We start from the raw sequence: 16,493 nt of genomic DNA, 5'->3' as shown, positions 1-16,493 counted from the left end.
ACATCAGCAGGACATGCACCTTCAGAGAATCTTAAAAAATTCCATAGCATCACATCATTTTTTTCTGTGCCTCCAGATTGCTCCTTCTACCCAACGCCTTCAGCAGGCATATTGTGTACATTTCTCAATTCCATGTGAAAATCAGGCCATGGAGAAGAGATTCAGATGAGATTTCACAAACCATCCTGATTTTCCTTAAGTGAATACATGTCGCTTATCCAATTCTTCCTCTATTGCTTGTCAAAAGAGTAGGAAAAACAGTTCCATTCTATAAGGACAATTCCTGATCCAGATAAATTGAAATTAGAAACAAATAACTACGTGATCACCAGAAGTGATCACTTCTGATGATTTAAATCTTTATAGAAAATTGGAGCTAGAAAACTCCTCATCCAGATTGTGCAACAAAGAGCTTCAGGGAACTAAAAGCACTAAGGCAAGAGTAACATAATCATTTGCTTTTCATGGTGGAGGGGGTAGTGAAGGAGCTTTCAGAACAGGGAAAATTCTTTAGGGTAGAGATGCAAGGCCTGGGCTTTGGAGATGAAGACCTGGCTCTGTCATCTACTGAATGGGTGACCTGTGGCAGGTTATTTAATCTTTCTGGGCCTCAGTTTCCTCATTTGTCATATGGGGATCAATCACAAGATATATCTCATGGAGATGTGTTTTATATGTGTGTGTGTGTGTGATATTTATATATCTATGTTTTTATATATGTTACATATGTTGCTATAGATAAAAAACATAGAGAGCTAGTGAGCTAGTGCACATGCATGCTTGGACTGTATTCAATAAATCGTAGATAGTACTTTAATTAAAGTTGAATTCATTTGAAGAGAAATGAAAGTGCAGGGGAATAAAGGAAGACTGTAAAGTTACGTTGGAACCAGATTATGCAGCTCTTGACTTCTAGGTTACAATGTTAAGGTTTTGTTTAGACAATGGGAAGCCTTCAAAGGTTTTTGAGTGGGAGCATGACACAATTACAGATGTGGTTTTTGAAGATTGATCTGGAAGCAGTGTGTGGAGCGAGCTTTCAGGGAAATATCAGGAGGTAGAAAAACCAGATAGGAAGCTAGTGTTTTAGTTTTCATAAGACCTGATGAAGTCTGACCTGTGGCAGTGTTAACTGGGTTGAAGAAGAGGGATAGTGTTGAGATAAAACTGGCAAGAGGGAGTTAAAGACAGCTCCTGTATTTCACACCTTTGTGACTGGGAGGATGATGGTGATCTTTATTTTAGCAATGGGGAGCATAGGCAGGGACGTGAGTTTAAGAGGGTCTATAATTTAATGTTGAATCTAGGTATTTCAGAGGGTACAGAGATAGAAATATCCAAAAGGCATTTGGATATCATAACTCTCTAGCACTCTGACTATGATCAATATTTTGGTATACTTCTTCGGATTATTGGTTCCTATTTCGGAACACTCTGCTTGATTTTTTAAAAAATGCAATCAGTAGGCATGTAGGATTCACCCACAGAAACACTCTTTATAGCAAACCTGGCTGGAATGCATTTCTTCTATTAAGTGACTCTTTAGGAATTCCCAGCTCACTGCTGTGCTACCCAAGTTAATCACATTTGTTTCCTGCTAGGAAGATGTTTGAATCCAAGCAAGAACCCATGCAAACTCCTGTTTTCCTTGAGTTCCTGTGTTCTACTTCCCACCCAAACTGGCTGAAAACATGAACAAATCTGATTCTCGTACAACTGTGTTGAACAGTCTGCCCCTTCATTCTCCTTATCAAAGAACTCACCCTGGCTGCAGAGGCCAAGCCTCCCCAGGGAAAGCCATGCTGAGACCTAGTGTCACATCCACCTTATCTGCATTGTATGCTTCTTTTCTTCTGTAAACTCTCCTTCTGTTGTCCTGATAGATATCAAGGTGGAGTTTAAATGGTCTGTAATCCCCAAGTTCCCAGTGGTACCTCTGGAAAAGATTGGGCCCACATTAGCAATTTTCCAAGTTTCGGCAACGGTGCCTACTGCAGCCCCGGCCTCTGTTGACCAGTTCACCTTCCCATTCATCCAAACCCCAGACAAGGAGTCCTGCTGTTTTCTGGTCATATCCAGCTCTCAGGGATCTATTCTTTTTGAGAGAGGCTTTAGTATGTTGATCAATTTCTTTTAAAATGTGTATTAGGATTTATTGTGTGCAAAACATTGAACTAGACAATGCCAGAGACCTCCTTAAGATGAAAGAGACATATAGTTTTTGTTTTCAAATGAAATTAGGATCTAGTGAGGCAAGTTGACATGTACACAAATGAGACAAGGGAGGCTGGGTAGGGGTGAGCATGAAGAAGAGGAGGGTGAAAAGCTAAGCATGAGTTAAATCTGCAACTTAGCAGCTACAAGACTTAAATTTTATATTGAAGACAGGGTACTTTGAAACCCTTTCTCTGTGGAATGGCTAATGGTAGAGCCCAAGAAGACTCTGGGGACAAGTGGAGGTCCCATTTCAAGGCCATCTCTGAGGCCTATTACGTATAGAGTGAGTGTCCTGTTTGGCGAGAAGAGTGGCTGAGAGGTTGGGTTGAAGGGGCCATTTTGTTAAAGTGAAAACAGAGCAAACAAACATTTTAAAAAGTAACTCAGGTGATATCCTTAATGGTAAATAAAGGAGATAAAGATAGCACACTGCCTAAGTAATTATGTTTTTGGTATAAATCTAGAATTCAAGTAAGGTTTCTGCTAATTAGTTTTTTTTTTTTGTACTTTGTTTTCAGACTGAGGATCTCATTAATACAACCTCTCGTGGAAGACACATTAGATATACTGTTCCTTGCGTGTAGAATATACATGAATTCATTGTGCATGGAGTTTGCATTTTCCCATTTGATTCTCATACCAGCCCTGTAAACAGGTCTTAGCTCAAAAAATTATGAGACTAGCTCCAGTTTCTCTCTAACCAGAGGGTAATTTTTTTGTGGTCAAGGGCCATCTTTGTGTCTCCAGGGTCCGGAAAAGAAATGAACTGAAGAATTTATGACAGAGCTGCAGAAAAACCTCAAAAGCTTTCCTCAGTTCTGTGCTTTTTAAAAAGAATTAATAGCAATCAGTTTCTTTTAGATAAAGCAAGTCAGCTGGGACTACATCCAAAGGAATATATTAGGTCGGTGCAAAAGTAATTGCAGTTTTTGCCACAATTACAATACAAGTAATGGCAAAAACTGCAATTACTTTTGCACCAACTTAATATCTGATGCTAGAGACATTACTAGAACCCTAAGGTGCTAAGGGGAGGTTTCAGCATGATATTTCAGAAATTCCGAAATTGCTGGGTTCATGCAGAAGAATAAAGACTCAAGTCCACAAATCAAGGGCTAGCAAAAGATGAGGCCAGAAATAGGTCAATAGATTCATTGTGTATGACACCACTGATGTGTGCTCTTCCTTTGAAGGGTTTCAGCCTCAATTACTTTTATTCTTAGGTTTCTGTGGCCCATCTCATTGTCCTGACCCTAAGGGCAGGGATTTGGGCAGCGGAAAGTTGTTTCAAGCGGTTAAGATATCTTGGAGTCATTTCAGGAGAGGCACATCTTTATCAATGTCCATGTCTTTAGTTAAGCCAGAGATGGGTACTTTGGTGGGATTTGAGGTTCAATAATGGGAAAAATATCCATGGTGATCCAAGGTAAATTGTATTCTAAGGGTTGTAGGGCAGATTAGGGTAGAAGTGTTCTCTTGGGAAGAGTTTTCTTTCTCCAGGGAGAAGGCCAATTAACTAGGTTTAAGGATTCTAATTTAATGCTTAGAGAACACTGCTTCTTAGCGCCATGGAATGAGGCAAAGCATGGAATCAGTGCAGGAAGCCTGTGCAAAGTTAATCATAAGGTGTTGACAATGTTGGATATTATTATGGCCTGAGACCCAGAAAAGAATAAATTCTGAATTGGCTCAATCTCTTCTTTTTATGTATTACAAAGAAAAAGTAAGAGAACCACAAATTCACATTTTATTGTTAGCTGGGATTGAGACACAGTCCTGTGCAGAGAACTTGAACAGGTTTGACTGGAGCACTTTCCTCAAACTATGGTAGAACTCAAGAGCTTCGGCTGAGGGATAATTAAACATGTTTGTTAGCATAAGAACAAACATAAGAAGAGGAAAAGTGACTCATCTACATGACAAGCTGACCTAAACTGGCCCTACACAGTAGCCTCAGGACCATTACTGCTTCTTAGAAGAAGTCCAACTTGCCAGTTTTTATTTTATGTTCCATGCTTTTTGTGTCCCGAATAAAAATCTTCAAGGTCTCAAAGATCTTCTCCTATGTTTTCTTCTAGAAGTTTATGGTTTTAGTTTTTATGTTTTGTCCTATGATTTATTTCAAGTTAATTTTTATGGATGACCTGAGTTAAGGGTTGAAGTTCATTTTTTGTGCATACAGATATCCAGTCATTCCTGCCCAGTTGGTTGAAGACTGTCTTTTCCTTATTGAATGATCCTGGCTCCTTTGTTGAAAATTAGTTGACCACACATGTGTGAGCTCTACATCCCATTGATCCATTTGTCTATCATACACCAGTTCTGCATTGTCTTGATTGCTAAAGTTGTGTGTGTGTCTGTGTGTTTGAGATGGAGTCTTGCTCTGACGCCCAGGCTGGAGTGCAATGGTGCTATCTCAGCTTGCTGCAAACTCTGCCTCCCGGGTTCAAGCGATTCTCCTGCCTCAGCCTCCCAAGTAGTTGGGATTACAGGCACCCACAACCACGCCTGGCTAACTTTTGTATTTTTAGCAGAGATGAGGTTTCACCATGTTGGTCAGTAAGTCTTGAAGTCAGGTAAGGTAAGTTCTCCAACTTTGTGCTTCTTTTTCAAAATTGTTTTGGATATTCTGGGTCATTTACAATTTCACATACATTTTAGAGTCAGTGTGTCAACTGCTACACAAAAAAGACTACTGGGGTTTTATAGGTATAACACCAAATCTAAAATCATTTTGGAGAGAATTAATATCTTAACGCTGAGACTTGCAGTTCATAAACATACATGTATCTGTTAATTTATTCAGGTGTTCTGAATTTATCATAGCAACATTTTATAGTTTTCAGTGTATCGATCTTACATACATGTATCAAATATATTCATAAGTGTTTATTTTTAAATGTTATTAAAATCCATATTATTTCTTTGACTTTATTTTCTAATTTTTCCTTTTTTTTTTTTTGAGTCGGAGTCTCGCACTGTCGCCCAGGCTGGAGTGCAGTGGCACTATCTCAGCTTACTGCAAGCTCCGCCTCCCAGGTTCACGCCATTGTCCTGCCTCAGCCTCTCGAGTAGCTGGGACTACAGGCACCCGCCACCATGCCCGGCTAATTTTTTTGTATTTTTAGTAGATATGGGGTTTCACTGTGTTAGCCAGGATGGTCTCGATCTCCTGACCTCGTGATCTGCCCGCCTCGGCCTCCCAAAGTGCTGGGACTACAGGCGTGAGCCACTGCGCCCGACCTTTCTAATTTTTCATGGCTAGTATATAAAATTATAATTGATATTAAATATTGACCTTGTAACCTGTGACCTTGCTAAATTCACTTGTTCTAGAAACTTTATTATAGATTTCTTAGGTTTTCCTACATACATAATTGTGTTTTATTCCACATGACTTTGTAATGCAATAAAACTAACTGCCTGAAAAAAATGACCCACTTATTATCTTGAGAACTGACCAATACAATTACTATTTTTGAGAAAAAAATAGTCATCTTTGAGAGAGTCATGGAAGATATCCTTCAAAGATGGGGGCATGTTGGTTACACAGTTAACCAGTAATCAGTAGTCACCGAAGGTCTTAACAGATTTCCATGATACAGAAGAACATGAAAGAGACTGATGAATGCTTCTTGGTATTCCTGCTTAAAATAGAGATAGATAGGGTATGGGTAGGAGAGTAAAGGCCAAAGAGAAAATCAAGGTGTAAAGGATTTAAAGGAACTGTGGATTGGGCCAGTCATCTCATCAGGAGGAGGACTGACTTCTTGAAGCAAATGTATATGGGCAGTGGCAGAGTCTGCTGAGCTATTCCACTCTTAATGAATCATTTGTGTGGGCAAATGTTGTCATCAAGGACTCTTCTGAGATGATCAGGACACTGTAGAACTTATGAGCATCAGTGTGGCTTTCTTCCCTACTTCTTCAGGTCACTATTTGGGAAAATAGCTTGAAAGAAATAGGTTTATCTGGGAACTGAATGACAATCTAAGAAACATGACTGAGAATGGAATTTGGATTTGGTGATCAGGGTGTTAGATCTCCAAAATGAAGAGCTCTTAGCTTGAGGTAAATGTGTCATGGCATTTTAGAAACAACAAGACCTCCAGATTTATTTTCCATCCTTTTCCACCTTGCTGCTTGCACTGGGAGGCTGGGAAGCTAGGAGACTTTGGTCTCTTGCCTCCTGTTGGGTTTAGCCAATGGCAGGTACTGGAAAGTAATCAGAGGGTGGGAAGTAAGGTCAGGGTATTTATTTTCCCAGCTCCTTATCTGCTGGGCTGCAGCTTGGTCATGGCTGTTCCTGACAGCTGGCGCTGTCCTGTGACTCTCTCTCTCCAGATTCCGGTAACCACTGACTCTTCTTGCCTTGTAATGCCCTAGGATGGTAAAAGTCTTCTGCTATTTTTAACCATGAGTTGCTTTACCATTCCTTGTAAGTTTTCTATATCTCTGCTTACACCTTAAGATGGTCTCTCCATTAAATTTTCTTCAGTCATCTCTTTTGAGGATGTCATGTGGACTCTGACTATTAGATCAGCCCATCCACTTTAATAGCTTTGGAAATTTGAGTAAGTTATTCAATCTCCTGAGTTTTAGTTTTTCATCTATAATGTGGAGATGAAATTTTCCCTTGCAAAGATAAGAGACAATATATGTAAACAGCACATAGTTGCTACGCAGTAAGTGGTATCTATTGTCACCATTACTAGTAACTATTATCACGTAAGGACTGGAAGATCATGGTGCTCTCAGGGACTATTTGGATTAAATTGTAGAACTGGTTGTTACCTATCCAAAAGCATAAGACTGAGGAGGAAAAGTTCAGGAAACAAAAGGTGAGAATGTAGCAAGAGGTTGGAAAGACTTACTAGTATATGAGAAATAGAATATTTTCATATTTTAATATGAGAAGGGAGATACAGCTTTAGGAGTCTCAGATACTTGATGGGAGGATCCTTATACCTAAATATGGCAGTGGAGGTGTTCACCTTGTTAGAAAGGAGCAGCCTTTCAGAAAAGGAGGTAGAGTAGTGCCACATATCACAAGACACATATTTGAATGGAAATGCATTGAACTGTGAGTTAAATATTGAGAAAGACAAAATTATAAAAGAAAAGTTATTATTGACATACATGAGAGTATCCTGGAGATCATCTGGCCAGATGGAAGAAATGGACTCTTGACTCAAATTTCAGCTCTGGAAAGGAAGCAAGGTATATAGCTCCTTGAATCTTGACTGTCTTGAGCTTGCTTTTATATCATTCCTTGATACCCACTGCTGTTCTGGCTGGCTGGTCCTTCCTTCTTCCATGTTTCAGTTTCTTAGAGGAGCCCACAGCCATTTAGTGGGAGAGCTCTTTTAGTTGATCCTTCTACTTTCTTCTTTCCAGGGCACGCATGTCTGCCTGAATGGGGAGAGGGGTTAGGGAGACAGTCAGAGTGGGTTCAAATAAAATCTCCCCATCTGTCTTGGAACATTTTCCCCCAGAGAACCTTTTTCCCCAGAACCAACTCCCCCGGTGCAAAACTCCTCTTTTTTTGGAGGAAATTATCTCCAAGAGATCTGCAAATCCTTTTGCAGTTCACTTTTGATTGGGTACCCCTACCTTGCCAGTTACTCTAATATGTGACATATATCTGAGGTTTTTTTTCCCCCAGAAGGTGCTCTACTCCCATATAATTCAAAAGGGTAAAGCTAGAACCTAGAGGGTATCAGATTCCACCCAGCTTCACTTGCCCTACAGATTTTTCTCTCAGTGGGTAGATAAAGTACCCTCTCCTGTACATAATTATGATCAGAGAGGAGAAAAACTTTGAGAGACAGAGCTTGTGTTAGTCAGAAGAAAAGAAAAAAAATTAGGGAAAAGATACAGCTAGTTTGAAATTCTAAAGTGGTAGATGTCTCAGAAGGGTTGGGAAGGTCCCAGGGCTGGGCATTTTGTTTATGAAATTGCCTACAATCCTGTTGTAGAAGAAACAGAGGCAATATCTAAATAGACCGAATCCTGTGGCTTCACAGGGAGCTCTGTGTGAGCTCAGATCTTAAAAGAACATGGCCATAAATCAAATAATGAACATAAAGGATGATAAATATGTGTGCAAGTGACATTAGAAAAGCAAAAGCTCAGGATAAACTGTGACTTGTGGACAATGCTCAGGACATCATCAAAAGACACACATTTTTTGTTTGACGCAAACTGAAGCATAAAAAATGCAGAAGTAAATGCCTTGGGTAAGTGCTTTCAAAGCCATTCCAAAACTCTTGGCCTTCCATTCACTCTGTCAAGGAGAAAGACCTTATGAATGAAAAGGGTAGAACAATCAAGAGCATAGAAAAGCTCATCGAAGACCAACTGGTGAAGAGACTGTGAGTGAGCACCAAGTTTCATGCCTCCTGGACCAGGAACGTTATATCCCAGGGAACTGCTAAGACCTTGCAAATGAGATTCTCTACCACTTTTGGTTATCTTGGAAAAGGTGTGAAACTGAACATGTGTCAGAAGACTGGACTCAGCTAAGCGCAGTCATGATTTTCTAAAAGGGAAGAAGGTGGGTTGTGTAGAGAGATAGTAAATTTAAATGTTTATGGAGACCAGATAACAACTTAGAAAGAGTCAAGTAAAGCTAGTGGAGGTCCTATGAGCTTGAAAGGTTAAGCTCTCTCTGAAAAGGGCAGCTGTCACTGAGCTCCAGCTGGTTGTAGAAATGTCCAGAATTGCTAGAACTTTAACTTTTTAATGTTAAATTGTATTATTTTCAAATGTGGATAATTATTTAAATTAAAAAATATATATTGTGAGGGCTGAATTAAATAGGACTGTAGAGAGATAGGGCCAATAGGCTACCAGTTTGTGCCTTCTGCCTGTGGATTTGCCATCTTGTAGCTAAAAATCTAGGACAGTCTACTGAAAGATCACCTGGTAGGCATTTTAAAGAAACTGATCCTTAGGAACTGCATGAGTTCACTAAGGACCAACATTCCACATAGTAACCTCCTCTCCTTTGATTAGCAGAGGGCTGTAGTAGACTTGGGTGGACTGATTCCAGCAAGGTTCGCACAGGGATGGCCATGTTCTCCATGGGGACTAGATAGAGAAGCTCAAATGAAATGTCAGTAGCTCTAGGAAGAGTCTTAGCTGACTGAAAAACTGTTCCAGGTTAGTGTATTAATGACCAATAGGGAGGTCTCTATTCTTGTCTCTGGCCAATTAAAGTTTTGGAGCCCAGAAATGAACTCAAGAATTGGCTTATGGCTTGTTGTCTACAGGGTGTAATGAGAATAATAATCCCTTTCATTTTTCTGTATTTTGATTGATACAGACAGGATTTGGCACACTATAGCCCATGAGCCAAATCTGTCTGCTACCAGTTTGTGTAACTAAAGTTTGATTGGAGCACAGCCACACCCATTCTTTCACACATTGTCTCTGGCTGCTTTCAATAGACAATGGCAGAATTGAGTATTGTGACAGAGAATGTATGGTCTGTAAATTTAAAAATATTAACTGTTTGGTCCTTTACAGAAAAAGTTTACTGACTTTCTCATGTAGCTAAACATCATATTAGTCATCTTAGAGGCCTTTTTAAATTATTAATTAATATTGGACTTGTCGACATTGGTCAGTAAAAGTCTAAAGTCTATATATTACATTACTTGCTGTCAGGACACAGCTACTTGAATCCCAGATTGAAACAATTTATTTAGGAAATCAAGGAGCAGGGTGTTACATTTATTCTTGAGAACATTTAGCTTGTTGTTTTATAATTCTTTTGTCCAGTGTGCTGATAGTGTCTTTCAACTTCATATCCAATGCATTCTGCTTTTGAAGTGAGCAAACATGGGCCCTCACGTTGGGGTAGAATTCAGAGACTTGGGCCCAGAGGAAGCAGCATGACCAGAAGTAGATGTAGCCTGAGGGCAAATTCAACATGGGGCCTCAAGAGGAGAGTTAAAACTCTGGATCAAAGAAGTTGTGGCCGTGATGATGGCACAGGCCAAAGCAAGAGGGAGTGACTGAATATAGAAGCAGATTGGGAGTGAAGTCAACATGAGAGCAAGGCAAGAGGGTCCTGAGTTTTGTCTGTGAAGGGGACAAAAGTGTCTGAAACTCTTTCTTTCTGGATATTGCCTACTGGAGTATGGGATGGACTAGCTAGAGATAAAGGGCTAGGCTTGGAGGACAAGACAAAGTGTTGTTATATAAATACGCAATTTGGGGTTTCACTTAGGACCTCTCCTAGGTAGTATTTGATGAGACTACGATGTCATCAATTTCACTTTAAAAATTGTGGTAAAAAGAATATAATACAAAATTTCCCATCTTAACCATTTTTAAGTGTACAGTTCAATAGCTACATTATGTAGCATAAGGTATATTCACATTGTTGTGCAATAGAGTTTCAGAACTTTATCATCTCACGAAACAGAAACTCTGCATGCATTAACTCCTCAAGTCCCCTCAGTTTTTTTTTAAAAAAATGATCAGAGTAGCTAAACAGAAACACCAGCAGATATTTAGAAAAAATGCACTTCAAAAGCAAAATAATAAAGAAAAGTAGATGTAATTTGGTATATTTTTCATTGCTTACTAATTAGTATCCTCTTTTCCATTTGTCTTCAAAGAGAAAAAGATTAATTCCTTCTTTCATTTGCCTACTTTATCATTGAAAACTTCAGGAGCTGGGACCCAGATTTTTGGCTCTTGGTGGAAGGATCCCAGTTAGTGTCCTTCACAGCTGTGACTGGCATATGGAAGAAACCTGGAAAAAGGACATGTCTCTTCGCTGATGACATGCCCCAAAGACTTATTTCTAAAGAACCAGTTCCTACTGTTGCATTCCTTCCTACTGCTAAAGAAATTCCCTAGGTTTGTAGAATTTCTTCCCCCTAAATTCTCATTTTTGCTTATTTCTTTCATACAGCTTGACCAAAAACCAAAGAGGAAATTATTACCACATGCATTTTACATTTTCTGGAATGATCATTTTCTTTGCCGTGATGAGAAAGGGCTTTCCAGTATCTAAAAATTATCTGTGATTCTTAAGCTTATTTTTCTAAACAATTCTGTCTACATAAAACTCTCCTGTAAATTTTAGTGATTGGTTTTGGATATAGATTGCTAAATAAAGTGTCAAGAGTAATTAATCTGTACACAGCCCAACTTTTTTGATGGAAATGTATTTATGCTTTCCGAAGATACATAATGTAAAAAATATTTCAAAGGTTAGAGCAAAAATGAATGTCCTCCTGCAATTGGACTCTAAGAGATAATCGCCTAGTTCTTAAAAAAAGAAAACAATAAACATTTAAACAGAATTCAAATAGGGCTTTCCTGTATCAATTCAACAGAATGTGTCTTTAATGTATCAATCGTCTGTTACACAATGTGGCATTAATGCTGAAGTTGTAGGTTGAGGGCCAACAATCCAGGACTTGCTTGACTGCCGTCTCTACCACTTATTAATGGCATACCCTTGAGCAAGTTACTTTATTTATTTAAGCCTCAGTTTCCTCATCTTCAATGTAGAGATAAAAATAATCTTCAAGGGAGAGATAATTACTCATAGACTTGTGGAATGATATGACATAGAACATCTCAAGCACTTAGCACAGTGCCTGGGATTCAGCAGATAATAATAGTTGTAACATAATTATAACTACATTAATTTAAACATTTTTTAAATTTTGGTACAAAAACATAACATAGAATGTACTATCTTAACTAATTTTAGTTATACAGTTCAGTGCTATTAAAAAGATTCTCATTGTTGTGCAACTGTCTTAGTCCTGTGCGCTGCCATAACAAAATACTTTAGACTGCATAATTTACAAATAATAGAAATTTATTTCTCACAGTTCTGGAGGCTGGGAAGTCCAAACTGAGGCACCAGTCGATTCAGTATCTGGTGAAGGCTTGCTCTCTGCTTCACAGATGGTGCCTCTTGTTGTGCCCTCACATGGTGGAAGTGGGAAAGGCTATGTCCTCACATGGTGGAAGAGGCACTAATCCCATTTACAGGGGCTCTGTCCTCATGACTTAATCACCTCCTAAAGGGCCCAGCTCTTAATATTATCACATTGATGATTAAGTTTCAACATATGAATTTTGGCGAGACACATTCACACCATAGCAGCAACTGTAAACACCATCCATCACTGTATTAATTATCAATATGGATTCAACCTACTATCCTGAAAAAATAACATGAATTTACCTCTATCCTATGTGTGGCTTGGCTTTGTCAAAATAGATTCCTCCTAGTTTCTCAAAATTTTTTGAAATCTGGTCATATCTGTTTGTGGCTAGATTTTGAAAAACCCTTCATGTAAAGTGTTCAAGGCATCAGACTGATTCTGGTGTTATCGAATGTTCAAAACTGTAGAGGTGAGTGCTAAACAGACCTGCGCAGCTACTCTAGGGTAAAATTAATTCTCAAACGCCCTCACTGACACTTTGCAGTGTCTTCTCCAGCAGACATTTCTGACTGCTGCCGGCCTAAGCTCTGCTAATGGAGGTTTATAAAGGCCTTCACAATTCCTATGGTAACCCAGGAGAAAGGCTGTTGCCATGGGGACTAGTGAAGCCTATATAAACCTTCCATCTCCATCAGACAGATGAGAACGATGTGAGAATGAATCCTTTGCTAATTCACCTCCAGAAATGGCTAATAATTATCTCTGTTTTTGGAAAAAGATTCTTCATTTCTTTCAGGTGAAAATTCATTCACATTTTTAGCTTCAAATAAGAATTATGCAAAATCTTGCTTGATGATCTTGGTGTTAACTAAAATCATCCAGAGAATGAAATGGCCAGTGATTGAACCACTTCCAAATTTCTATAGTGTTACCAGCCACTGAATAACATTTATCACAAGCATATTAACTTTTAAAACAATAGTATGTTTCTTTGAAAAGAATGAAACGTAAATGTATGTCTATTAATGCACTTCTCCATTGTTTTACAATCGGATCTAGGAGAATCTGAGCTCTATGAAGGCAGGGTCTGTTTTATTTACTTCCATATCCTCAGCATCTAGCCCATTGTGTTGCAATATTAGGGGCTCAGTAAATGAATGAATAAGTGAAGCAATCAGTCAATATACAACAGTCAAGCAAGTCTCATGTTGACAATGGCAGAGATAGTGAGTATTGATGTTCAAGTGTGTAACAAATGAAAGCTACCTCTAAAAACAGTATCATCATTAATTCATTTATTAAAGGACAATTTATTAATGTCCACCACATTTATTTATTCAGTGATGGCACAGTTCCTGCTTTGGTTCATTCCAAAAGTATTTAAAGAAGCTAGTCTTTAGGGATATCACCCTAAACAGGGCAACATTCCCATCTTCCTGGAGCCCCTGATCTGCAGGCAGAGGCAGACATATATCCCTGTCAGAGTAAAATGGGATTGGTGTGAAAAGAAGCAGCACAACCACCAAAATCTACTTAATCCTGATGGAGCTCAGGGAGAGAGAAGACACAGTCTGAGCTGGGCCTTGATGGATGAGTAGGAGTTTCACAGGCAGACAGGGTGAGGAGAGGAGGTTGTTTGTTGGGAGGAGGAGATGAGGCATTTAAGGCAGAAGGAAGAGCATATGTTAAAGAACATGACCTGTTGAGGGAGTGGCAAGCATTCTCCAGTGGCTGAAGTACAGGTTTTTTGAGGACTGTGGCAGGAGGCTGATTTGTGACAGATTATGATGAGCCTAACATGCTATTCTTATCCAAATTCTTTTCCTGAGTGAGTGGAGCATTCACAGCTTGAGCCTGTAGTGAATTTTCAGGCATTAGGACTGGGTGAGACATGGTCCCCAGATGTGCATTGTAGAGGAAGAGGGTCATAGAGTGCATCCAGGATATGACAGCATGGCCAGGCTCAGGCCTCTAGCATGAGGAGCCCCACCATTCAAAGGGTCAGACAGTGGGGCAGGCCCAGAGCTGCCTTGGGGACAGCCACCGGGAGGGGTTGGGGAAGGTGGCCAGGAGGTCCATCTCTTTTAGAGGGTATCTGTGCCCCTGCCTGGGTGTAGGCAGGCTTGGGTTGGAACAACACCTGGAATATAGACCTTTTTCAGCAGAAGTAAGACATATTCAGATCTGTGTGTTACAGACATCCTTCTAAGGCAGGCAATGAGTAGGATGAGCAGAGCTGGGAAAGCTTGAAGGCAACTGCAGGGATTGGAGAAGAGATGACCATGTGAGAGTTAAGTACCTACAGCATGAAGCAGGCTGATGAGTTCCCGCTTTTCCCTTCAAATATTTACTTAACGCTTGTTATTTGCTTGTAGGTTGTCCTGGGTCCTGAGATTACATCTTTCTCAAGTAATGTGTAAAACAGACACCCTGACTCTTTCCGTATCCTAAGCTGACACCCTTGAAGAGTTGATGATGGTGTAAAGTTTGAAGATGGAGCAAATATATCTGTGGACTCTTTTGCACATTACTTTCCCCCCCTCTATTCAGGGTAGAAATAGGGCTGGTGGACGGAAGCTACCAAAAAATATTTTAATCAATACTAATAAAAACTTTCTAAAAATGAGGGTAACAAAAAAGATGGGAGCTGCTTCCTGGAGTGGCACTGAGTGGTTCCTGACATATTGTAGATTTCTCAATAAATTACTAACTCTTATATATCTTACAGTTGTTTCAAAAACTTTCAGAGTAAGAAAGTATCAAGGTTATGCTGGCCTCACCAAAGTGATTTAGAAAACATTATATCTTTTTCTATACTCAGGAAGAGAGTACATAACATTACCATTATTTCTTTCTTAAATGTTTAAGATAATTCACCTGCGAAGCCATCAGGGCCTAGAGTTTTTTCTGTGGGATGGATTTTGATAGCAGATTCAGCTTGTTTTATGTAAATAAGAATGTCCACATTTCAGATCTCTTTTGGTGTCTCTTTCAGAAAGTTGTGCTCTAGACATTTGTTTCATCTTAGTTTCAGATTTATTTTCACAATATTTTTCATAATATCTTCTTTTTTTTCCCTAATTTCTGTAGATTCTGTAGTGATGCCTTCTTTTTCATTCCTGATACTTCAAATTTGTCCATCTCTCTTTTTTCTTCATGAGTCTTGCAGGAGTTTATTAATTTTATCCTTTTTATTTTTCAAGGAACCAACATTTGGTTTGACTGACTCTGTTGTAGATTTGTTTTCTATTTCATTAATTTTTCTTCTTTATTATACTCTTTCTTCTACCTTTTTGGACTTTGTTTTGCTTTTGTCCCTAAGTTCTTGCAGTAGATACTTAGGTAATTGATTTTCAGCTCATATTATTTTCTAATATAAGCTTTTAAACCTATTTTTCTCTCAGCACATTTTTAACTTCTCCCATGCTTTCATAAGCTGTAGAATCACTACCATTCAATTTAAAATATGTTCTAATTTCCAGTATCATCACTTCTTTGACACAGAGGTTATTTAGAATGATATCATCTAATTTCCAAACATAAGGGAATTTTAGAGTCATCTTTTTATAACTGGTATAGCTTAATTCCACTGTGGTCAGAAAACAGACTTTAAAAGATTTCAGGCCTTTGAAATTTGTTAAGGTTTGCTTTGTGGTTTAGTATATGTCAATTTTAGTAACTGCTCCTTATGCACTGAAAAGAACATTTATTCTTTCTTTGCAGTGTTTTATAAACATCAATTAGATTAGGTTTGTTTATTGCATTGCTTTGGTGTTCTTTGTTCTTACTGATTTCCCTCCCTGCTTATTCTACTCATTATTATGAGAAGTATGTTAAAGTTTTTCACACTGATGTGCATTCAACTATTACTTTTAGTTCTATAAATTTTTACCTTATGTATTTTGAAACTATGTTATCAGATGCATACAAATTTAGAGATTGTTATATCTTCCTGGTGAATAAAACCTTATATTATTATCAAAGGTGTCTCTATTTCTGGTAATAATTTTTATCTTAAAATTTACCTTACTGATTTGTAAACCTATATCAACTTTATTTTAGTTAATGTTTATATGATAGATCTTGACTATCTTTTTACTTTCAATATTTCCGTGTCTCTAAGAAATGACTCACATGTAGCTTGACTAGGTTTTATATTTTTATTCAGTTTGACAATCTTTGTATTTTAATAGTATTTAGTATTTATAGAAATATGTATATTAGTTTGTACAGTTATTTAAAAATTCATTTTCTACTTGACTTACCTGTTCTGTTTGTTTTTCATTCTTCTTGCTTTCTGTTTTTGGATTAGTGAAGTTCTATTATTATTATTATTATTATAACATTTTTCCT

The 16,493-nt window shown here is 38.4% G+C and overlaps 2 long non-coding RNA genes across 2 annotated transcripts; one reads left to right on the top strand and one right to left on the bottom strand.

Annotated features, from left to right (window-relative positions):
* Positions 1 to 7,327: 7,327 nt before the first annotated feature.
* Positions 7,328 to 12,745, bottom strand: LOC124902233 (uncharacterized). Its single transcript, XR_007061696.1, has 2 exons — positions 12,440 to 12,745; positions 7,328 to 7,629 (listed from the first exon to the last, which is right to left on the bottom strand). It is a non-coding gene; the product is annotated as an uncharacterized LOC124902233 (long non-coding RNA).
* On the top strand, positions 12,265 to 16,123 carry LOC124902236 (uncharacterized). Its single transcript, XR_007061701.1, has 2 exons — positions 12,265 to 12,936; positions 14,516 to 16,123. It is a non-coding gene; the product is annotated as an uncharacterized LOC124902236 (long non-coding RNA).
* The last annotated feature ends 370 nt before the right edge of the window (positions 16,124 to 16,493 follow it).

The sequence above is a fragment of the Homo sapiens genome, chromosome 9 (assembly GCF_000001405.40).
Source record: "Homo sapiens chromosome 9, GRCh38.p14 Primary Assembly".
In the NCBI taxonomy this organism is placed as follows: Eukaryota; Metazoa; Chordata; class Mammalia; order Primates; family Hominidae; genus Homo; species Homo sapiens.
Note: the sequence above shows the minus strand (reverse complement) of the source record. Positions and strands in the feature narration are given on the sequence as shown.